Source organism: Homo sapiens, chromosome 18 (assembly GCF_000001405.40).
Source record: "Homo sapiens chromosome 18, GRCh38.p14 Primary Assembly".
Lineage (NCBI taxonomy): Eukaryota > Metazoa > Chordata > Mammalia > Primates > Hominidae > Homo > Homo sapiens.
Genome location: NC_000018.10, coordinates 59,379,547 through 59,403,626, shown reverse-complemented (window position 1 = coordinate 59,403,626; position 24,080 = coordinate 59,379,547). Strand labels below are relative to the sequence as shown.

At 42.6% G+C, this 24,080-nt stretch overlaps 1 long non-coding RNA gene across 1 annotated transcript, besides 1 other annotated feature; it reads left to right on the top strand.

The window, feature by feature from the left end:
- The first annotated feature begins 276 nt into the window (after positions 1–276).
- Positions 277–23,383, top strand: LOC107985156 (uncharacterized). The gene is made up of 9 exons (XR_001753470.1): positions 277–1,239; positions 1,514–1,655; positions 1,996–2,092; positions 5,144–5,344; positions 7,693–7,858; positions 10,953–11,105; positions 14,636–14,734; positions 16,843–16,876; positions 22,624–23,383. It is a non-coding gene; the product is annotated as an uncharacterized LOC107985156 (long non-coding RNA).
- Positions 15,997–16,993: an enhancer, noted in NCBI's record as "OCT4-NANOG hESC enhancer chr18:57053866-57054862 (GRCh37/hg19 assembly coordinates)". NCBI's record gives its function as "activates a minimal SCP1, AML or CMV promoter by ChIP-STARR-seq in naive H9 embryonic stem cells {active_cell/tissue: H9 hESC(naive)}" and the evidence as "EXISTENCE:reporter gene assay evidence [ECO:0000049][PMID:30033119]".
- Positions 23,384–24,080: the final 697 nt, after the last annotated feature.

The following is a 24,080-nucleotide window of genomic DNA, read 5'->3' as shown; positions in this document are numbered from 1 at the left end:
GAAAGCAAGTATGTAGAAAAAATCTAGACAGATATTACTTCTGGGGAGTGTAGTTGGATAGTGTGGAGGAGGGGAGTGTTGGGAAAGTGGGGGAAATGACTTTATTCTTATCTGTAATTTTTTATTCATATAAGGAAAACGTGAAATTTATTTTTAATTGCAAGCAAAATATGAAAACTTTTTTTACAGAAAAGCCTTTAGATTCATTCTTTTCTGCAACCATTCAATTTCCAGTAGACTCTATTCCAATCATGAGCTTCCTAGGTCCCTTACGAAGTGTCCAGTTTACCAAGATTCTACTTACATACATCTTTTCTCATCTTTATGTGCTATGTAAAGCTAAATAAATCTGCTCATTGGAAAGTGCTAAGAGTGGCAGTAAATCCAAAATTAATATAGGGCAGTGGTCTTTATTTATAGGTGTAATATTATTCTGTCTCTATTTGTCCACCTTCAACTCTACATTTCTGAGGGTCATAAGTTTTGGAACCAGAGAGAACTCTGTTAATTTCGCGACTTTGGAGCCCGGATAAATTACCTAATGTCTGTAAGTTTCAGGTTCTGCATTTCTGAAAATCAGGAAAGCTCCTACTTCAAAGCCTTGGTATACTAGATAAGACATTAAAAGTGAAATTATTTAACATAGTGCCTGATCAGCAACGTTCCTTTCCCCTACTGGAGTTAGGAGGCCTTGCAAAAGTCAAGCATGCCTCATAGCTGCGTGAACTTGTGGAAAGTTAATTCACCTCTCTGAGTCTCAGTCTCCTCAACCGTGGAATAAGAATAATGACATTTTCTTGATACAGGTTCCTCTAAGTCACAAATGTAAAAGACAGCAAGCTCAATATGCAGACCATATGGTCATATCAATCTTTGTTTCCCTTCCTTTCTCCGTCTTCCCCTCTAGCGTCTCCTGCAGTTCCAAGCTGACACGGCAGATGGTGTAGTTGAATCGCCCAGGGAGCCTCAGCACAGCGGCCTCAGTCACCTCTCCACAAGGCAGCTGCCCCAAGCTGCATTCATTGGGACAAACCTACCTTCCTTCTAGAATGTGAGTCAGATGCGGCAGTGGTACTGCAGGCGGCAGCAATGGCAGTGTCACAACACAGACTGAGATTTGGCTTCAACACCGAACCGCTTGGGGGCTCTCATGGATGCAAAGTGTGTCGTTTCCTTGTGGAAGGACAGTGAAGGCAGGTGTTTGCTGCTCTCCTGCAGGCTCTTGGGCATGCTTCAGAGGTACTTCTTTCGGGGCCAAGCTCTTATCAAATTAATATTCTGTCCGTAAGGGAGATTTTGTTAATTACCTCGGTTTAATGAAGTTTTTCTTAGCTTTTGGAAACAGAATGTGTTGGCTCTCCATTTTTTGGTCTGTTTGAGTGAAGGAAAGTTGATGTCCTAGGTTGGATACAAGACTGGAATAGGATATTCAGAGGCAGCTTCTTATAGACGACCACCTTTCCGTAACACCATTAGAATTATATGAGCTTTAATCCTGCACCTAACTTTCCAGGGTTTCCTCCTCCAAGAAGCTGCGTTAGCACTGGACCAACGACAAACAAGTGAAGGGCTTGGGTCAGGATACCTGTGTTACAGCTGCAGAATGTCAAGCACAGGGGCAGTGACTACAGCTTGCCAGGGCAGAGCCCACAGAGGTAATATTCCAAAACAATACATTTCCATGTAATTCCAGCAGCAGAATGGCTGGGGGCTGCAAGTTGCATTTGAACAGCACTTCTCAACCTTATCAGACCTAATGCCCCCCTTTCATAACAAATACTGTGTAACTCTCCCCTCTAGTATCCTACAATGAGATGCGCAGATACTACAACTTGTCTATGCACATATTTAATCCCTCTAATGTCCTTGCAGTAATATAAAGAATAAATGAAAGCAAAGTCATTATACTGAATTAATATGTATTTCCATGTGTGAATATGCAGACACAACTATGTTGGAAGGCATAAATAGTCTGATGCTTATGTCTGTTCACAGCATTATCCTAAATATCATGGCCACAAATCCAAATTAAGTGTTGGTGACTCAGGTACCATGCGCTGCATTGAATGACTCAGTAAAATTCCAACCAAATGTAAGTATAATCTTTCTTTATTTTACATACAATTATTATAGATAAATGCCATAAAAATAAGTTGCATTTATATGCAAAACATAGGTAGGTTCTAGGCTCCCTAATAGTTGTAATAGCCACCCTTCCTACACACACAGACACACACGCTTCCTAAAAAAAACTCTGGAAGCAAATATGGCCGCTCTTGAAAACCATTGGTATGGAGGGCCAGATAGGGCCGCAGGGCATGAAGAGGACCTGTACCTGCCTTCCAGAACTCTTAGGTTCTCCAGGTGATTACCCAAGACCTTTCCAACTGCCAAAATCAAGACCTTATTAGTGTAATTATGTAACCGATGCCAGATTTGATAACCATAAAGTAAAGACCTATCACTAGGGCGACTCTGCCCTAGATTCCTATATGATGATGCAGCTATTGTCTCAGACCTGGGATGGAACAACACTGCAACACACCAAAACCAGCCTGGGAAATGCAGGCACAAAAGGACACCCGGTTCATTTCCTAAGCCACCCTCCACTACACTCCATCAGGCCAGGCTTCGGAGGAAAGGCCTGGACGCAAGATCCTAGCAGGCCCTCATGCCACAGGGCCATCCCAGCTCTGCTCCAGCCACTGGGATTATTTGGTGATCAGGAGTATCGATGGACCACTGGTTTAGGCTCTAGTTAATTGAATATTCTGGTTACATGACAGTTAATTCACAGTCCTCTTTGCTTTGATCCTTATAAAACTTTCCTAAATTCATGTGTTAACCCTTCACCAAAACAACAATGTTTACTTAGTTGGAAAGACTCCTTTTTCTTTCCTCTATTTTACAAATTCCTATAATAGTGTTATAATACTCTGATATTAATAGCAATGCATTCAGTAAACACACGGCTCCAGTTTCCTGGCTTAATGCGTAGTACATACTAGAGAATGGAGCTTTTGTTTTATGTTTAAGCGTACTGTAAGGTTTCAAGCTTCTCTTTCTGAGCCATTTTCACTACAAAGAATGAAAGTGCCTACGTAGGCATTGAAGATTGTGTTTAATGTGGAACTTTTTTTATTATTTATTATTTTTTTTTTGAGATGGAATCTCGCTCTCTCACTCAGGCTAGAGTGCAGTGGCGTGATCTCTGCTCACTGCAAGCTCCGCTTCCTGGGTTCACACTACTCTCCTGCCTCAGCCTCCCAAGTAACTGGGACTACAGGCACCTGCCACCACACCCAGCTAATTTTTTGTATTTTTAGTAGAGACAGGGTTTCACCATGTTAGCCAGGGTGGTCTCGATCTCCTGACCTCGTGATGTACCCACCTCAGCCTCCCAGAGTGCTGGGACTACAGGCGTGAGCCACCGTGCCCGGCCTGTTTAATGTGGATTCTAATCTCAGGAAATCTCCTGAAAGAGTAATTGACTTTTTGGTTTCAGTCATTATGAATTTTTCTACTAAGTGTGTTGTGTGCTGTTTTAGTTGAGGGGCTTTGAAGAAGCAGATGCAAACATGGAATTCAATGCATTCTGTTACAGAAAAGGACTGAGGAAAAATGAAGAAGGAGCCAGGAGAGTTGAGAGCTGTCAGGCCATGCAGGTGTAACCCCAAGTACTTGTTAATGTAATTAATTATGTAGCCAATCCAATATTGACTAAATCTATAAAAGTGAGTGCACTGAAAATGAATCCTGTGTCTATCAGCACTAAATTGAATACACTGAAGAGACTTGGTAAAAAAAAAAAAACACATAGTCACTGGCCGGGTGCAGTGGCTCAGGCCTGTAATCACCTCAAGTGATCCCAGGGTGGATCATTTGAGGTCAGGAGTTCAAGACCAGCCTGGCCAACATGGCAAAACCCCATCTCTACTAAAAATACAAAAATTAGCCGGGCGTGGTGGCACATGCCGGTAGCCCCAGCTACTTGGGAGGCTGAGGTAGGACAATCACTTGAACCAGGGAGACGGAGGTTACAGTGAGCCAAGACTGCACTACTGCACTCCAGCCTGGGGCACACAGCGAGACTCTGCCTCAAAAAAAAAAAAAAAAAAAAAAAAGTAGTCATTAAAACATATTTTTTAATTAAATCAGAGATGGCCAAGATTACTATAAAAGTTTGGGGGATAGTACTTAAAATTTAGTATAATTCTACACTTTTATTCTGTTGCAGTGTCTCTGCAGTTTAAAGAAACCAAAACTGGAAATCATCGTCAATGGATTAAGGATGTGATTTGTGCAAAATAGACGATGCAAAGCTCTAATCAGTAGATCCCATCAAAGAAAAAAGATGATAGGCTCATATTTTAAGATTGGTTGAATATACACTTCTATGCTTTAAGCTAAATGAAAATGTTTGCTTTTTTAAAATCCTGTGTTTGATGGACTTTCTCAATTAACCAACCAACTACTCCTACATAAGGGGCTTCTTTTTTATGTTTTAAACACAGTACAATTGCATTTACCACTAATGTTTACATGTGTGACAATAATAGAAAAAACAAGAGGTTCCTGGGATGAAAGGAGTATGTAAAGGTCAGTTCAAGGTTGGAGTTAGGTCTTTTCATTCAGTAATTTATTCAGAAGAGTTTTAGAACCTTGCCAAAATCATAAATGGCCTGCTTTGATTTCACATTTATGTTTGGCAAGACTAGATACAAACACACACACACACACACACACACACATTTATTATGTGGCAGAAATTTCTGGACCCCAAGTGATAGAGGTCAGGCAAAGGGGTTTTCTACTGTCCCCTATATTCTCTACCAAAGACCTGCTAGGGAATATTCAGCTATTGCCTACATTACATTTCAACTGTCTGCTAAGGAAGAATTAGTTTTAAATTTTGATTCATCCAGGCCCACCTCCAACCCCAGGCTATTTCTTTTGTCTAATTCATGCATGCAGAGGGAACACAAGGAGTTTGCCTGAAACTCTTCACTAAACTTTATGGGTACACCATAGTGACTTTTCCACAAAGGGGAGATCGTCTGGCCCTTTTTAAAATCCCTCCTGGAACTTAAATTATCAACTATTGTAATATCTGATCATAATTATCTTTCTTCATTTGATACAGGATAATGCAAACATGAAATCAGCAAGCAAGCATAATTTCTGGAAATGATAGAGTCCCACCGAGACTTGGCAAACAGGCCGTCCATTTTCCCCTTGTTGCACAGTGTCACAATGCCTCTTCTACAGATGTGGCCCCCTGAGCTGTGAACTCCTTGAAGACAAGGACTAGAACAGTGCCTGGCACAGTCCATGTTGTATACAGGTGGATCAATTGAATGAATGCACTGCTTTTATCCAAAAATATACTCATCACCATGCAGAATAGACTCGAAATATAACACGTTATCCCATACTTAACTAAACCCATGGCTTATTCACGGTTGATGGCACCTCATGCCATGTAGAAAGGCTGGAGAATGTCCAGCCAAGAATGATGCTGTAAGCAACTAAAAGAGAGATGCCAAGACTTCAAAGGATAGGACTTTCCCATTTAAAAAGAGAAATCCCAGAGCAAGGAGAGGATAAGTATAAAAAGAATGTTATCCCTATAGGAGACATGGTCTAGAAAGCTCATGAAGCGCATTGCTTGTAGGCAGACAGTGGTTCTCAGACTTTACGAAATATCAGAATCACCTGCAGCCTTGTTTCAACACACTCTTGGGCCCTTCTCCAGAAATTCCAGTTGCACAGGCCAGGGTGGATGCCTGGAAAGCTGGATTTTTTTTTTAAACAGACTCCCAGATATTGCTGATGCTGCCATGGAAACATTATTTGAGAACAGTATCGTAAGAGATGGTAAAGGCTGGAAACCTAGTTTCTTCTTTTTTTTTTTTTTTTTTGAGACGGAGTCTCGCTCTGTCGCCCAGGCTGGAGTGCAGTGGCGGGATCTCGGCTCACTGCAAGCTCCGCCTCCCGGGTTCACGCCATTCTCCTGCCTCAGCCTCCCAAGTAGCTGGGACTACAGGCGCCCGCCACTACGCCCGGCTAATTTTTTGTATTTTTAGTAGAGACGGGGTTTCACCGTTTTAGCCGGGATGGTCTCGATCTCCTGACCTCGTGATCCGCCCGCCTCGGCCTCCCAAAGTGCTGGGATTACAGGCGTGAGCCACCGCGCCCGGCCAACCTAGTTTCTTCTAAGATTTTAAATTAATTTTTAAAATGCTATAAGTGAATTCTTTTAAAAATTTGTATCACAAATGTTCTCAAGCATGCACAAAAGTAAAAAGACTCATAAAAAACCCACACAGCACGCATCACCCCACTTCAAAAAAACCAATTTACCACTCTTGTTTTATATATCCCCCATCACCTTTTTTTTTTTTTTGCCAAAATAGTTTAAAACATATCCCAGACATATCATTAATCTGTAAAGATTTCAGCATTTCTTTCTTTTTTTTTTTTTTTTTTTTTTTGAGATGAAGTTTCGCTCTTTGTTGCCCAGGCTGGAGTACAATGGCGCAATCTCGGCACACTGCAACCTCTGCCTCCTGGGTTCAAGCTATTCTCCTGCCTCAGCCTCCCAAGTAGCTGGGATTACAGGCACCCACCACCACGCCCAGCTAATTTTTGTATTTTTAGTAGAGACGGCGTTTCACCATGTTGGTCAGGCTGGTTGAGAACTCCTGACCTCAGGTGATCCACCCGCCTCGGCCTCACAAAGTGCTGGGATTACAGGCGCGAGCGACCGTGCCTGGCCTTCAGCATTTATTTCTAACAGATATGCACTCTTTTTAAATGTATTTACATATTGAGGGAAGCTAGGATGTTTGCAATAATTGTTTATAAGACTGTAAGAGCCAAGGAAGACCGGGCTGCGTGGATCCCAGATTCTGACTGACCCAATGTTATTTTGACTTCTTTTTATTTTGGCAGTGACCACCCTCTGCTTCTAGGCCTTTGCTTAGGCTGTCTCCCCACCACCACCACCACACACACACACACACACACACACACACACAATCTTGTTAACCCTTCCCACCCATCTCCTCGTATCCAAATACTGCTCTCCCTTGGAGACATGTCCCTTCCTATAGAACCTTCCTCCAACAGTAAACCACTCATCTCTCTGACACATAGCCCAGCCTTATGTCTCTCCTCACAGGGATCTGCAACTTTCTGCCTTCTGTTGCCCAGGGGACTGTCCCCGGGGAACGGCACATTCCTGGAAGGTGGCATGAGGAAAGGGTTCCAAACAAGCTCAGAACAGCCCACAGTCCTCACTTCTCTGAAGGACATTACAGTCCCTCCGGGTTGGAGACTGGAGGTAGAATCTTCATTTCCAAGAAATGGCCCTGGATGCCAAATGATTATCCACAACCCTACAAGCCCGGTCAGATTCCGAGTGTGGGGGGCACACGCTGTTGCCATGTCTCACTCACTGATGGCTGCCACCACAGTGCAAACCTGGGAAAACTATGGTTACAGCCAGCGTTTTGCCCAATCACCACTCGCTGAGGCTTTTCAAGGAAGAACTGGGTGGAAATTGGCTAGGCCTGAGGAGGAATCTGCAGGTGGGGCAGGGGCAGCGGGTGACGGGGAGGTGGAAGCGGAAATGCTAAGAAAGCTAAATATTGTGGTTAAGTCGGAAATGTGGATTTCTGACCCTTTTAGGAGGAAGAGGATGTGGCTGAGTGTGGCACTGGGGCACGTGAATGCCCACATGCAGAGGGGATGCTTGACAATTAAACCACCCATAAAGCAAGGCATTATAAATGGCTGTGAGTGTGGCCAGCATTGACTTTGGGCAACAGAGCTCTGGATTTGCTAAGCCTCACGGGTGAGTGAATGGTGGGAGTTGGAGGCAAGCAGGTTACCAGAGATTCCTCAGTGCTCTGGGGGAGGTGTTTTCAAGCCAGCAAAACCAGCCTTGGTGAGACCTGACCTCTGAATAGGACAATATAAAAACCCACAAAGAGACTTTAGCCTAGTTCTCTTTTTAAATAAAGTCAGGTGGGCAGGGGCAGGGGGATTCCCATTAGAAAGTTTTATGGTATTTTGTAGTAGATTATGAATTATACTTTGAAACTACACAAAACAGTTCAAACACAGTGCTTCCTGCAGCTAGAATCACAGGCTGTCAGCCACGGCTCTGCTCACCTCCCCAGCTAAGCCACCTACCTTCTTGTGGGGGACACAGATCGCCCCCTGTGGTCTTGTTGCCCTGCCTCACCCCTTGAGAACCTTCTTTCTTTTCTTTCCTTCTTTCTTTCTTTTATGTACATTTAGTTCCCACAGGCTTCCTTTATCAATATTTCAATTGGTTGCTGCTGACCTATACTTGAATCCAAATATTTGCCCTATTCAGTAGGAATTGTTCATTCAGCCAAATGCCTGATTATGTCTGTGCTCTTTTGAGCAAATTGAATGGGCTACTTGACTATGTAATGCCGATATAGCCTGGTCATTAGTAATGTTTGTTAGAATTGACCAGATGCAACAAGGAAGGAAAGGGAGAGAAGAAGGAGGTTTGTGTTCAGTTTTCCTTCCAGAGCAACCGTGGTGAAGAAAACGAAATTATGCGCTTTCCAGGGCACAGCTCTAAACTGCCTTCCTGTTCTTCCAAATGGTCCCGTAGTCTAATATGAATCAAATGGGTCAGGGTTCAAAAGAGATGGATGCTCCTGAAGCTCGCAAGTTTATGTATTCATTGGGAAACTTCCCCCTGTAAAATGAATATGGTTTTTAAAAATGATGACTGGCCTTCTTATTTTTATTGTTTAAATCAAGACACAAGAAATAAAATAAAGCTAACTACAAGACTTGCTCTTGGTTAATATTACTCCCTGCACTGATTGTATGACAATTCTTCCCATATTCAAACTAACCTTTTATGAATGTCAAAAGCCACATGACTGGACAATTTTTAACTATCATATGTTAAACTATAATTCACACTTTAGGGGAGGAAAAGCCTTCTCCTCTGTCCTCTCATGTTCAGTGACTTGGGCTCTGCAAATTAAAGTTACGAAAGATAAGGAAGAAAAAATAGTCTGTTTATACTTGCAGTGCACATACATGCTAGAGAACTCAGCGATGAATAACTCAAAGAGGTTATTAGAATTCAGGGGTTGTATACTGTGTCTTAACAAAGAGCAATAAATTGTGGAGAAGAGGCTAAAGGGAAAAGGTTTGGGGCTCGTGGGGAATGCTAAGTTATGGAAAGGGGACAAAAAAGTATGGTAAACAAGGGTCATTTAGTGCGACCCTTATCAGACTCTTATCTGTTTTTTTTTTGTTGTTGTTCTTGTTGTTTTTGTTTTTGTTTTGAGACGGAGTCTCGCTCTGTTGCCCAAGCTGGAGTGCAGTGGCGCGATCTCGGCTCACTGCAAGCTCCGCCTCCCGGGTTCACACCATTCTCCTGCCTCAGCCTCCTGAGTAGCTGGGACTACAGGCGCCCGCCGCCACGCCCAGCTAATTTTTTGTATTTTTAGTAGAGACGGGGTTTCACCGTGTTAGCCAGGATGGTCTCGATCTCCTGACCTTTTGATCTGCCCGCCTCGGCCTCCCAAAGTGCTGGGATTCTGTTATGCAGATAAGAGTCATCTCAGGTGATAGGAGTGTCTCAGTGGTTCTCTTCCTGTTATGGAAGAGTGAGATACCGTTCCAACAGATGTTACATTTACAAAGGGAAAATTATGCCCTGCTTTTTGACAGAAATGGAGAGAGCAGAGAGCAAATTGCTGTAAGTTCAAAACAGTCCTTACACCAAAAGGGCATATTTTGGGGTGCCATACTCTGATTCTTTTCAATACAACAATTATTTGCTGACTACCTACGACATACACAGTACTGAGTTATGTCATGGAAACACTTCATGCACAACAAGGGTTAAAATTTGGCCCTGACCCAAGGGAGGAAACCAGCACAGATCCAAGAGAATTTTGCCAGGAACAAGGGTGGCTTTGAAATGTAGATTAATTTTTCCAGTGCTCCAGAGCAGGAAGTGGTAGTAAGCATGTACCTGTGCACTGGCGCTTGCCGTTGAGGAGTTCCTATCTTATTGGCAAAGGCAGGTATGTACATAATGTAGAAAAGATAGGAATGAGAATACTTGGGCCAAGGTACCAAGTAAAGTAATTGTGGACCAAATAAACAAAACTGAATATGAATAGAAGGTACCCTTGCCCTCTGGGGGCTTACAGCCTGTTAAAGGAGATAATTTATAGACACAAATAAATTGTATCTAAGGCAGACTGCTTAAAGGAGCAAGCAACAAGGTGACGTGGGCTTTCAGGGCTAGAAGAGGTCATGTCCAAGACCACTGGGTATGTCCAGCCCACATTTTTTAAAGCCTTGTTTGAAACTCATGGCTCTGAAGCTCCTTCAAGCTCACATCATGTGTATTTTAAATTTGTCTGAAGAATTTACAAAATTCTTTAAACATCTTTCACATCACTTTTTGATTACAACAGGATTCGCTGCTTTATTTCCCTGCTTCGATAACACTGGTTGCAATGCCCCATTATATAAAAGAGAAGAGATGGAGGGAAATGGGTATTTATTAAGCACTTACTATGTACCAGCCCTTGAACTTGGTAGGCACTTTCAACTTTGTGTCCCACTTATTTATGAAGAAAATTTTCACTTGCTTCTCAGTTCTGCCTCATTCAAGATTCCCCATGCCTCGTAATCCTAAGTTCCTCTTCCCAGAAATCCCTGCTCAGCTCCCTGTTGGCAGAGGAGGGACCCTTCACACTTACCATGGTGTCACTTGCACCAGCTCTTGCTTCTGGCTGAGCAGCCTTAGAGTTTCTTAAACTGTCAACATTACTTGATTGTTAGGACTATTTCTAAGATCAGAGGGTACAAATCCTGTTTTGACTTTTCTCCAAGCTTGTTTCCACTGAAGGGTTCTCCTCCTTCCTGTCCAGGTCCTCTAAGGCTGTGCTCTCCTAGCCGAATCCGCACATCAGCCCTCTCCGGAGACCTGCTGGATGGTCCTCACCGCCGTGTCATTTGAAAGCGCTCTTGGCCTTTGTTTCCTCCTAGAACATACATTGTCCTGCAAAGAGCATGTGCTTCAGGTAAAATTGTATTGGAATCCAGCTCTGTTCCTCACACACTGTGCAGCATTGGTGAATCCCTTAAGTTTCAACACATGTAAAAACGGGCATAACAATGCCTGCCTCACCAAGCTGCTGAGGGGACCAAAGAGGCAACGTGTCAAAGCACACAGCCCAATGCTCAGTCCATAAGTTGTGCTTATTAATATTAGTTTTCCTCCTAATATTAGTTTTCCTGCTTTTTGGTGGTGAGAGAGAGATAGGTAGGTAGGTATGTAGGTAGATAGACAGACAGACAGACAGACAGATAGATCGCTCTATGGCTGGGCGCGGTGGCTCACGCCTGTAATCCCAGCACTTTGGGAGACCGAGGCGGGCGGATCGCGAGGTCAGGAGATCGAGACCATCCTGACCAACATGGTGAAACCCTGTCTCTACAAAAATACAAAAAAATTAGCCGGCTGTGGTGGTGTGCACCTGTAGTCCTAGCTACTCGGGAGGCTGAGGCAAGGAAATTGCTTGAACCCAGGAGGCGGAGGTTGCAGTGAGCCGAGATCACACCACTCCAGCCGGGCGACAGGGCAAGACTCCATCTCAAAAAAAAAAAAAAAAAAGAATGCTGTATGTAAATAGTATGAGAAACTTGCATTACGGAGAAAAGCTAGCCATTGCTTTCGGCTCTGATTTGAAGGAGTAGAAGGAGGCTAGCATTTCTGGACAGGAGAAAGGCAAAGCTCTCAAGCTGGAGTTCTAGCGCACTGTGTTGCATCGTAGCTTACTGTCACACAGAATGTCAACTCTCTGTGCCTCAGTTTCCTCGTCTTTTAAGAGTATAATGATATTATAATGCCAGGGGCCTTATAGGACTTTCTGGAGAATTAAGTTGAGAAAATATGTGTAAAGCTGTAGTTTAGTTCCTGGTCATAGTGAGTGTTCAGTGAATGTCAGATATTATTTTTATCCAATGCTAAATATGTGTCATTGTTATAAATATATCATTTCTCTTATATGTATATTTTAAAATGTATATATTATATTCATTTACCAATGAGAGATCAAAATAATTTCCTTTTAGTAGTGAGAAGGTCACGCTGACATCTGGCGTTCTCTCTATGGTCAAGAACACCATACAGTAAAGGCAAGATATTGAAGCAGCCTATAGATGACACATTTGGGAAGAAGAGGTAGGGAGGAGAATGGGGTAGGGAGAGAAGAAGGAGAAGGTATCAAATGAGTGCCTCGGAAATATATTTTCTATCAATGATCAAACTGTTATTGCTTGAAGATCTTAGGAAGAAAAGGATTATACAAACAAAAAATAGGCCAGGCGCTGTGGCTCATGCCTGCATTCCCAGCACTTTGGGAGGCTGAGGCAGGCAGATCACTTCAGGCCAGGAGTTTGAGACCAGCCTGGCCAGTGTGTCAAAACCCCATCTCTACTAAAAATACAAAAATCAGCTGGGTGTGGTGATGTGGTTCACACCTGTAATCCCAGTCACTAGAGAGGCTGAAGCACAAGAATCACTTGAACGCAGGAGGTGGAGGTTGCAGTGAGCTGAGATCCACCACTGCACTCCAGCCTGGGCACCAGAGCAAGACTCTGTCTCAAAAACTAAACTAAAATAAAAATAAAAATAAATAAATAAATATTGCTCTAATAAGGCCATATTATATATATATTATATAATTTATATAATAAATCACCCATATTCATGATGACTGTAATGCCCATTACTTATAATGAGGTTAAATAATCAATTCTAAAAATATTTGTCTAGCCCCTATATTAGTTTTCTAGGGCTGCTAAAATGAAGAACCACAAACTGGGTGATTTAAAGACAGAAATGTATTATCTCACAGTTCTGGAGGCTACAAGTCCAAAATCAGGGCATTGGCAGGGCCATACTTCCTCTGAAGATGAAGAGACAGATCTGTGCTAAGCCTTGCTCCTTGCTTCGGGTGGCCTGCCAGCCATCTTTGCACTGTGCCTTGGCTCATAGATGCATCCCTCCAATTCTTGCTGTGTGCCTTCACATTGTCTTCTCTCCATGCACATCTGTCTCTCTGTCCAAGTTTTCCCTTATTATAAGGACACCACCATATTGGATTAAGACTCACCTATTCCATATGACCTCACCTTAACTACTGTAAAATTACATCTGCCATGACCCTACGGTCACATTCTGAGGCACTGAGGTTAGGACTTAAACATATCTTTTCAGGGGAACACAAGTCAACTCATAATAACACCTATTTTCCAATACCCACCAAGCAAATTGCAATTTGGAATCATGTGGAATACTTTGCCAATATAATATAATATAATATAATATAATATAATATAATATAATATAATATAATATATAATATAATATAATAATGTTTCTAATTTTAGGACTAAACCATTGTGATTTATTAATATTAGTGATGTTACAGCAGAAAGTTCTAATTTAAAGAGGGAGTGCATAACTAGATTCTGCACAAATTCTTCTCTTTTAGTGTCAAAATACCAATGCCATGTCTAAAAACGGCACCATTGGAATAAGGGAAAGGGGAGTAGGGTTTGCAGTGATGTGTCCATTGCATGTAATCCTGCATTTAATGGAGAGTGCTGTCTACATTGTGTAATCATTGTGTCATAAAAACAGGAAGGCTCACAAGCCAAGCCAGCTGGTGGGATTCTAACCTTTTGCAATCACACACACACACACACACACACACACACACACACACACACTATAAATAGGAAAGGAGAAGGTCACTCTGCTTACTGAGGTGGAGGAATTCAGCAGCCAACACAAAAGAAACTTTCTCTGAGAAGATTTGCAGAGGAGGCCTGGTGTTTCCCAGCTATTCAATACCGGAATTTGTTTTCATGTTTTCAAGTCAAAAAATAAGGGTCTTGATCAGGAACACACAGGGGAAGGGCCACTTCAACAATGACCAAGCCCAGCGAATTTTGACCAAAGGCCAGAAAAATATTGGTTTTCATGTTGGCGTGATGGATTCTTTGCTAAAACACTAATATTATATTAATTAAGGGAGCTATTTTGCCTTGCTGATGAAGAAAATTTTTTTTTGTAAATAACATGCTTAGCTTTAACAATGATGAAGTTAAACATATGCAAATTATCTGATGAAGTTGCAATGACTCGATGTAAAAAATACATCTGTTTCCCATTGCTGGTATTTTCTAAAAGGTCAGAGCTACTTCTACTTGATGTGTGCAGGCTGAATATAATAATCTTTGCTCAGAAATGCACAGAGTATTTTAATAGCATGCCTAATATCTACCAATTTTGAAAGTTTCACTTAAAATTATCACTTTAGGTGATAATTAAGTTATCACTTAAAATATTATCACAGAAGCCATAAATATTAAATACTATATGAATTCACATAAAAATATAGGAACTGATGCATCTTAGGGCTCTTCCAATGTATGGAATGCTTTTCCAAGCATTTAGCTTGCTTCAATACTTGGTTATTATTACCATCCTTTCCTCACTCTGAAACTTGCAAGTCACTGTTTATTTCTTTGCCCTTGACAGATGTTATCTTATTTCATCCTTCCATGTGGGTTTTACCGTCCCCTTGAACAAGGAGAAAACTAAGGCTGAGAACATTGAAGTAGCACGATCATGGCAGAGGTGAGATTTTTAAAGCCGACCTGACACCAAGTCCCACACTCTTTCTGTTTAACCTCCATACCGCCTTGTTGGTTGTTTTTTGGTTTTGAAAGAAAAGAACAATCTGGTTTTATTTGTTTTTTACTATATTTATCCCATCACTGGAAAGCCCTATCTTGCCTGAACCAGACTGAGGTTTAGAAATAAACATACTTCTGTTGGTCTTTCCTATAAGGTATTTCTGTCTGCGTGTGTGTGTGTGCGCGCGTGTGTGCGTCTGTGTGCGTGTGTGTCTTTCTCTCAGCTTGTGCTCAATGATTGAACACCATTTTGGATCCAGAAAGACCTATTTGATTCATTCATGATTCACTGACACATAACCCATGTGCTGTATCATTTTATATAGAACATAGACATTGCAGCTAGGATAGCAACGCCTGGTGATGTAGACTGTCTTCTTTACATACAAATTGAGGTTGAGCCAATGTAAACACACTTGACCCTCTGGATGTTACAAAAAAAGCAGCTCCACCCTCAAAACTCAAAGTATTGTGTTTCCCCTGCATGCACTAGTGGCTTGGTCCTGCATTTGCCACTAACCGTGATTTTCAGTAACTCCCTTGGGCCCCTCAGCCTCAGCTTTCTCACCGGGCGATTCTTACTATCTGAATCTCACTTCATAGGATTGTTGTCTCAAATGAGAAAATGTGAAGGAAGAATTTTTTCAAGGTTAAATTCCCCAGTGTGCTGTAGCTTTAAAAACGATGATGAATCCTGTGATTTGAGCTCATCGATCTGGTGCTACCCTGGCCAAGGTGTTATGTCAACCACCCACTTGCTCAGTCTGTGCACTTCAGGTTTTCCTGTTCCCCAGAAACTGTGACATGCGTGGTGCCCTTCAAAACTCATGTTAGAAAGCGTGGATAATAAATTATTCAGGGAACAAAGCCCGAGCTCATTGAAAAGCTATTGCTCTGTGGGTAAATACAACCCCACTGTGTATTAAACAAAAATTAAACCCCATTTTCTTTTTTATAGTGAAGTTGCCATCAATTCAAATCCCGAGAACAAGGCCCTGGACACAGTTAATAGTCCGCAGCCTGGCCAGCCCAGGCTTTGAAAGCAGGGAAGCCTTCCTGAAGTGCTGCTTGTGCCCAATTATAACTCACTACTTACCATCTTCATAATTTAAATCTGTCCACCCCTTTGGGGGGGAGACATTTTTGCTAATCAAAGCCATGAATGCACCTTTTTCCTTTTGACAGCATTAAATTAAAGCTAAATGGTCGGTTTTGAATGAGTTACTGTGAATAAAGGCATTAATGAGGTAATTTCATTATGGAGACTCATCCAGGCCTATGTGAAAACAAGGGAAGTAAGTGGAAAGGAAAGCTGCTGAGGAAATTAGGGTTCCTTCCACCCTAATTAATGTTTGGGGGCATTTAGTACAGGCACCAAATTAACTGCTCCAAAGAACTCTCATTGAAAAAAATACATTGTTGCCCTCCCTTGTAATTAGAAGACAGTACAAGGAGAACACTCTGGGAGTATAAAGCCAGCCTTTAACTTATTCGGCTGGCCGCAGAAAACACACCATTATGGGGCTGGAGTTTAAGGAAGCACTAGGCAGACAATATAGGATTGTTTAGGTCCTTGGACTCTGTGAGCTGTAAACAGGTAGCCTCTGAATGAGGAATTATGAGACTCCTGGGAGGCCTGGCTTCCCAGCAAAACAGTCTTAAATGCATCTAAAAGGAAGAAAGAAAGGTGAATAGGCCCAGCGTGGTTCGCAAAAAGAATGCTCAGTGCTTGTCTTAAGTGATTACATGATGTTGCGCCGGCCCCTCTCACTGAGTTATCTTTACACTGCTTTTGTCTCCTCTAATTGGAGCTGATGAGGTGCTAATTGGAGGCCTTTTTAAAAAGCCCACTACTTTAATCATTGGAAAATCGAGGGAGGCTGAGGGAGTGGAGTTAATGAGAGAGGGGGAAGAAGAGAGAAAACTTCATATAGTTAGCTTGACAAAAGTGAAGCTGTGGTTTGTGTGTATCTAGGAGGGGTGAAAGGGAAGGTTTGAGGGGAGAAGAAGGGGAGCTCAAGATGTTTTATTTTAAAAATCTTTCTGCAGCATCTTCAAGGTCAGCTGGAAGAAGAAGAATCTGGTTAGTCTGGCGGTTTCTGTTCTTTAATTCTCACATTAGGCCTGAATTCAGACTAAAGCCTTGATGGTCCAGCCCTCGACTCTCCTTCAAAATTGAAGGAAGAAATGATGTGGAGTCCGGCGTGCCTCCCCGACCCTGTTCCTCTTCTCAGAATGAAAGTTTTTCTTGAACCCTTTGGATGGGTTTTCGCTGCTGCTTCTGGTGGCGGAGAGGACTCTTCATCTCAGAGCTTCCTCTGTGTCACAGGCGGGGAGTGAAGCGTGGTGGTCATGTCTTCAAGGGATATGAACTGGGGGAAAGAAAACAGAATTGACTTACCAACAGTGACTGTGAAGTTGGGTGTGTTCTGGTTTGGGGTTGCTTTTTTGTTTTCCTTCTCCTTTATGCTTTTCTATGCTTTCCAATCTCTAGAATGAGCCTCTATATCATCAGCAAAATAAAATTTTGGCCAGACGCGATGGCTCACGCCTATAATCCCAGCACATTGGGAGGCTGAGGTGGGTGGATCACCTGAGGTCAGGAGTTCAAGACCAGACCGGCCAACATGGCAAAAGCCTGTCTCTACTAAAAATACAAAAATTAGCCAAGCGTAGTGGTGTATGCCTGTAATTCCAGCTACTCGGGAGGCTGAGGCATGAGAATCACTTGAACCAGAGAGGCAGAGGTTGCACTAGTGCAAGACAAGATCCTGCTACTGGCCTCCAGCCTGGGCGACCGAGCAAGACTCCGTCTCAAAAAAATAAAATAAAATTTTAATGTATTTATTCAAGATGACTTTGTTACTTTAAGTAGCAAAGAAATAGAATGGAGTGTGTGGCAGGGAGGAGAGGTATGATGTGGAGAAAGTGGACTTCTAGAAACATCCTCTCAGGGGCACCGAGCCTGGGTTGCCTGCTCTTGCTGTGCAGCAGGACCCGTGGAGTGTCAGGACACCATGGACATTCGGAGAGAAGCATCACACCTGAGGGTTACACAGGCTCCCACTCAACTCTCCATTCCCTGGCCTCGAGAGGATTGATAAAGTATTTCCAGAGTATCTTGGAGGATTTATAAAGTATGCCACGGGATTTCGCACTTTATATATTACCTCATATTGTGTATAATAACCACCACGTCTTGAAGGTTAATTTCCCCATACACTCTAACCCACTTTAGGGCAATGACCCTGCAGTTTGTCTTCCACTCCCACCTAAGTGTCCAAGCTTAAGTTACCTTTTCCATACTGCCCCAATGTAAAATCAAGCCACACGCTGTAGCACATCAGCCAAAGAAAAATGAAATTGACATGACACGGTTGGCCTGTAAATACGAGCATGTGACATGGGCAAAACCTAGTGGGATCGAATTTTATCCTTGGGAAATGGGTTGACACCTGCCAAGTGGTGGGAACAGTGCCTGGCACTCAGTTAGGGGTCAGTAATTTAAAGCTGACACAAGGTGACTGAGAGTGAGAGAGAGAAACCTGGGAAGCAGATAGTCTTAAAAGTCAGAAATGATTGTGCAAGGCAAGAGAGTCAGCATTTGGTTTTGAAAACTGTAAATCTACAGAAGAGTTTTGTGTAGGGTGGATACGTAGAATGAACATGTTGTATGTCATTCAGAGATTGAGAAGGCAGCCTGCCAGCATCTGAGCTCTATCTCAGTAAGTGACACAGCACTCCCCACAGAGAGAAACTTAGGATACTGGCACTAGAAGGAGCATTACAGATGCTCTGGCCCCAGACCACTGTTCTGCAGATTAAGTGATGGGCTCAAAACCATCCAGGTCATGGAGAGTGGCCAAGTCTGCAGCAGATTCTAGGTCTTTGACCTACCAGGCCAGTGCTCTTTTTCTTTTTCTTTTCTTTTTTTTTTTTTTAAACAGACCCGGGCTGGAATACAGTGGCACAATCTTGTCTCACTGCAACCTCCACCTCCAGGGTTCAAGTGATTCTCCTGCCTCAGCCTCCTGAGTAGCTGGGATTACAGGCACCTGCCACCCAGCTAATTTTTATATTTTTAGTAGAGATAGGTTTTTACCATGTGGGCCAGGCTGGTCTCGAACTCCTGACCTCAAGTGATCCTCCCGCCTCGGCCTCCCAAAGTGCTGAGATTATAGACGTGAGCCATGTGCCAGGCCTGTTTTTCCTAATAGCTCACAGACTCACAGGATGAAGAACTTGCCAGCCTCCTCCTCTGAAGTTTCTGAGTATGTTAGATTAGTACAGGAGACCCCATTGTATAGATTCATATATATATATATACACACACACACATACATTTACACACATATATGGACACCTAGACATACACGTCAACCCCAAGTTCAACCTGATTCACTCAGTCACTCCTGCACTCATGCATTTAGCATCCAGGAAATCTTGGGATGCCCACAAAGTACTAAGTCCTGAGCTGATTGCCAGGGATACGAAGGTCAGCAAAACCTGACACAGCCTGTCCTTGTGGAGCTTATTGTCCAGTGCATGGGACAGACATTGCATAAAGATTTTCACAAGGATTGTGTTGATTCCTGATGTTATGTTCAATGCTGTGGAGAAGCACCGAGTAGACGAATACGGTCCTATTTACCGAAGACTCCAGGTGACACTAAGGCAGGTGCTTTGAAAACCCTGAGCTACAATCAGCAGGCAGCAGAACCTCCCCTCCAGCTGCTATGAAAGCAGCTTCTAATGAGTTAATGAGCAGCCTGAGGATGGAGGGCGACAGGGAAGGTGGGGGGAGGCGGAGGGGACACAGTAATCTGCAGAGCATTAGCAGATGCTTCAGCAGGAGGCTGGGGAAGCTATTTGCCAGTTGGCTGCAGCTTCTGAAAGAGCAGGCAGAAGGGTCAATCAATGTGGCCTTCATCAGTTCAGTGACCATATTTTTAAATAATAATAATATTTAAAAAGGACATGTAATCTAACAGTTTTTTTGTTTTACAAATTAATTTGATAAAATAACTTGCACAAACACAAAAATTAAATTGAACTTAGTTATACAATTATTCAATTGGCTCTATTGAAAAAAAAAAAAACTTTTATATGAGGTCTGGGGCACATAGGAGCCAGAAATAAAGATCTCAGCATTTTAGCTTGACAGGGGGATTGGAAGACTATAGAGCCACACCTCTTAATTTAATAAGGAAGAAAGGAAGATCCAGAAAGATATGTGACTTTGTTATAGGTCATGCCAATGGCAAGATTAGAGAATAGGGCTCCTGGTTGATAATTCGGTGCACTTTTTTTTTTTTTTAATAGAGGCAGGCTCTCGCTCTGTTACCTAGGCTGGAGTACAGTGGTGTAATCATAGCTCACTGCAGCCTCAAACATCTGGGCCCAAGCAATCCTCCCACCTCAGCCTCCCAAGTAGCTAGAACTACAAGTGCACACCACCATGCCAAGCTAAGTTTTAAATTTTTTGTAGAGATGGGGTCTAGCTATGTTGCCCAGGCTGGTTGCTCAGTGCACTCTTGAGTGCAGCATGCCACATACTTTGATCCATGTACTGGTCAGCCGCACGCTTACGATACACCCAATTAAATACACGAAAAGCTCCTGCATATTGTTACTAATAAAAGAAATGCAATTTAATACTCAATAATATACCAATCTTCACCCAACTTGGAGAAGTTCAAAAAAGCAAGAAAACTGGCAAGATTACTGGGATTGCATTAACAGGACTCAGGAGGCAACTTGAAGAGGCTTCTACTAGAATGGTTTTGGCATTATCAAGGATAATAATTGGCACGGACTGAAATACATCAAATATGCTAAAATCCATGAGTTCAAAATGACGTCAAACAAACAGAAAAACAATGACAGCCAACAACAAGAAAAATAATGTTATTTTAGGAGGATGCCTGAGAACCAACTCTGTAGTTTAAAACTAGTTTTTTTTTTTTAAGTAAAAGCATTTTCCTGCTTATACTGTACATCAAAGTTAATAAAAATAGTTGATGAGAGGAAATTACTTTTTCTAGAAGCATCCCACTAATAAATGAAGAGGACATGATGGAATTAGAATGTCACCATTTTATCAAACTTAATGAAATAACGAATCTAGGAAATGATGGTCAGTACCTGCTCATAACCAGGCACGATGCGCCTCCTAATGGAAGTTCACATTGCCCTCTGCCTATGAACTATTCTTGCCAAAAATTCCAACTGGGTTGGCCAGCGCTTCTGATGGCTCAGCATTCTCACAAACATGGCCTTTTTCCGGGCCTCTGAGGTTCTCACTTGCTGTTTTGCAATAAACTCCTAACTGATCCTTCAGCATCTCATAGCCCTCCAGCCTCCTCACGTCAAATCACGGGAGTGATCCATGTAAAATGTGTGTCTGTCTGCAGCTCCCAGCTGCTCTAACTGGTCAGGCCCTGCTGTGGGTTGAATTGTGCCCTCCCCAAGAGACACGTTCAAGTCCTAAGCCCTGGTACCTATGAATGTGACCTCATTTGGAATAGGGTCTTTGCAGATATAATCAAGTTAACATGAGCTCATAATGGATTAGGGTGGACCTTAATCAGTGAGTGGTGTCCTTATAAAAAGGAAATTTAGACACAGAAACACAGAAGGAAGATGGCCACGTGCAGACGAAGGCAGACATTGGAGTGATGCAACCACAAGCAAGGAAATGATAGAGATTGCTAGCAAGCACCAGAAGTGAGGGGAGCTACCTTTCTAGCTTATCTGCAGAGGATCCGTCCCTCATACCCTATGTCAGCTCCACCGAGTCAATCACAGTTCCTCAAGGGAGCCAGGCTCTTACGTCTTTCTGACCTTTGTACATATTGCTCCCTTCGCCAATAATCACTGTCATCCTCTCTGCTACTCAGATGCCCCCTGGTCTTTGAAATCTTAGCTTTCCCACTGGACAGAATTAAAGTTTTTATGGGACCCCAAAGAACTTGTGCCCACCTCTTCCTTTATGTTTTCCAAGCAGCATTTTAGTAGATTCCCGCACCAGACATGAGCTCTGCCACAACAGGGAGAACATCTGATTCTTTCCACAATCCCAATGCCCAGCAGAGTAATAATAATATGAATTAATGTTAATAATAATATTAAGCAGCTAATGGAATTGTGTGATTCCTAAGTTCCAAGTACTGTTCTAAGCCTTTTGCATGTATTGCCTCAGTTAATTCGCATAATTCTGAATCATTATTCCCACCTTATAGATGAGAAAACAGAGGCGCAAAAGGTTAAGTGACTTGCCCAGCATCACTTACAGTAAACGTTGGAGGTGTGATTCGAAGCCACTCTAGATTCAGAGGTCATGCTTTTTTTTTTTTTTTCTTTTTTTTGAGACGCAGTCTCGCTCTGTTGCCCAGGCTGGAGTGCAGTGGCGCAATCTCGGCTCACTGCCAGCTCCGCCTCCCAGGTTCATGCCATTCTCCTGCCTCAGCCTCCCGAGTAGCTGAGACCACAGGCGCCCGCCACCACGGCCGGCTAATTTTTTGTATTTTTAGTAGAGACGAGGTTTCACCGTGTTAATCCAGGATGGTCTCGATCTCCCGACCTTATGATCCACCCGCCTCGGCCTCCCAAAGTGCTGGGATTACAGGCGTAAGCCACCGCGCCCGGCAGGTCATGCTTTTGACCACTGCTCTACGGCCTCTCCAGAGGTGAGTAGTGTAGGTGACCAGAAGATTGGATGGGGATAGGGAGTAGGAAGTAGGGCATGAACAAATGAATGAATATGCAATACCTTCTCTTCCTAAGTGTTAATATGTAAATCTAACCAATCCATGGTTCTTTGTTTTTCAGGTTACCAGGTGTAAACCCCAGAGTTGGAAGCACAATTTGAGAATGCAGGTAAGCGACGCTGAATGGAATGGCAAGGGAACCCAGTGGTTTCTGTGTGATCTGTGATTCACCCACGTATGAATCCAGTTACTGAAATTGACCTTTTGTCCACAGTGCTCTCTTCCGGATTCCAGTGGCCATGCTCCTGACTCCTCGATTTTTATCTCTTGCACCTTTTTTCACCTTCCTGCCCTTGACAACTGTTCAGTTCTTCTTTTCAAGCTTGCTGAACTGCATTCTACTTAATTTGGACCTAATTCAGCTTTGTTCATTTTTGTTTGAGTTTTCAACAAGATATTGACTAGGTCTATTAGCCTGGTGTTTTCTCAAAACAATGTATGTGCATTTTAAAGTTTTTAGTATCCAGACCATTACTGAAGTGCTACAAAATTAAGACACCATTAGCAACCACCCACTAACCCCACAATAGCTCTTGGAGAACTACCATTTGGTGTGTTTTTTGCCCTTGCTCTTTATAGTCTTGTTTTGAAAATTATGGTACAATACACATAACACAAAATTTACCATTAGTGACACTTAGTACATTGGCAGTGTTGTGCAACCATCACCACTATCTAGTTTGGGGTTTTCATCACCTCTAAAGGAAACCCTGTACCCATTAGTCAGTCTCTCCATTCTCTCCTCCCCGCTGCCTTTGGCAACCACCATCTGCATTCTGTCTCTATGGATTTGCCTATTTTGAATATTGCATATACACGGAATCATGTAATATGTGGCCTAACATGTCTAGCTTCTTTCACTTAGCATGTTTTCAAGATTTATCCCTGTTGTAGCATGTATCAGTACTTCATTCCTTTTATGGCTGAATAATATCCCATTATATGGATAGACCACATTTGTTTATCCTTTCATCAGTAAATGAACATTTGGGCTGTTTCTACCTTTCGTTTATTGTGTGTAGTGCTGCTCTGAATATTTATGTACAAGTTTTTCTTTGAACATCTGTTTTCAATTCTTTTGGGTATATTCCCAGAAGTGGAAATGTTCTAAGTGAGTAACTATGTTTGCATTATTGAGGAACAGCCAAACTGGTTTCCACAGTGGCTGCTCCACTTTTTATTCCCACCAACAATGTGAAAAGGTTCCAGTTTCTCCACATCCTCACCAACACTTGTTATTTTCCTTCTCAAAAAAAGTATAACCATCCTAGTGGGTGTACCATGCAGTCTTTTTAAAGCATAGATATCATTCTTGAAGTGCTTCTTCAAGTTCACGTACGCATGCAGCATTCAGAGATTTTGTAAAAGTATAGATTCTGCTGCAGCCAGTCTGCGGTGGGATCTGAGATCTTCCCGGGGGTGGTGGTTCTGCTGGTCCACTAGATTTGTGGAGCAGCAGAGATCACATAGAAAGATGATAGCAGCCTTTGCTTGAAACCCTCTGGTCACTTCCCACTG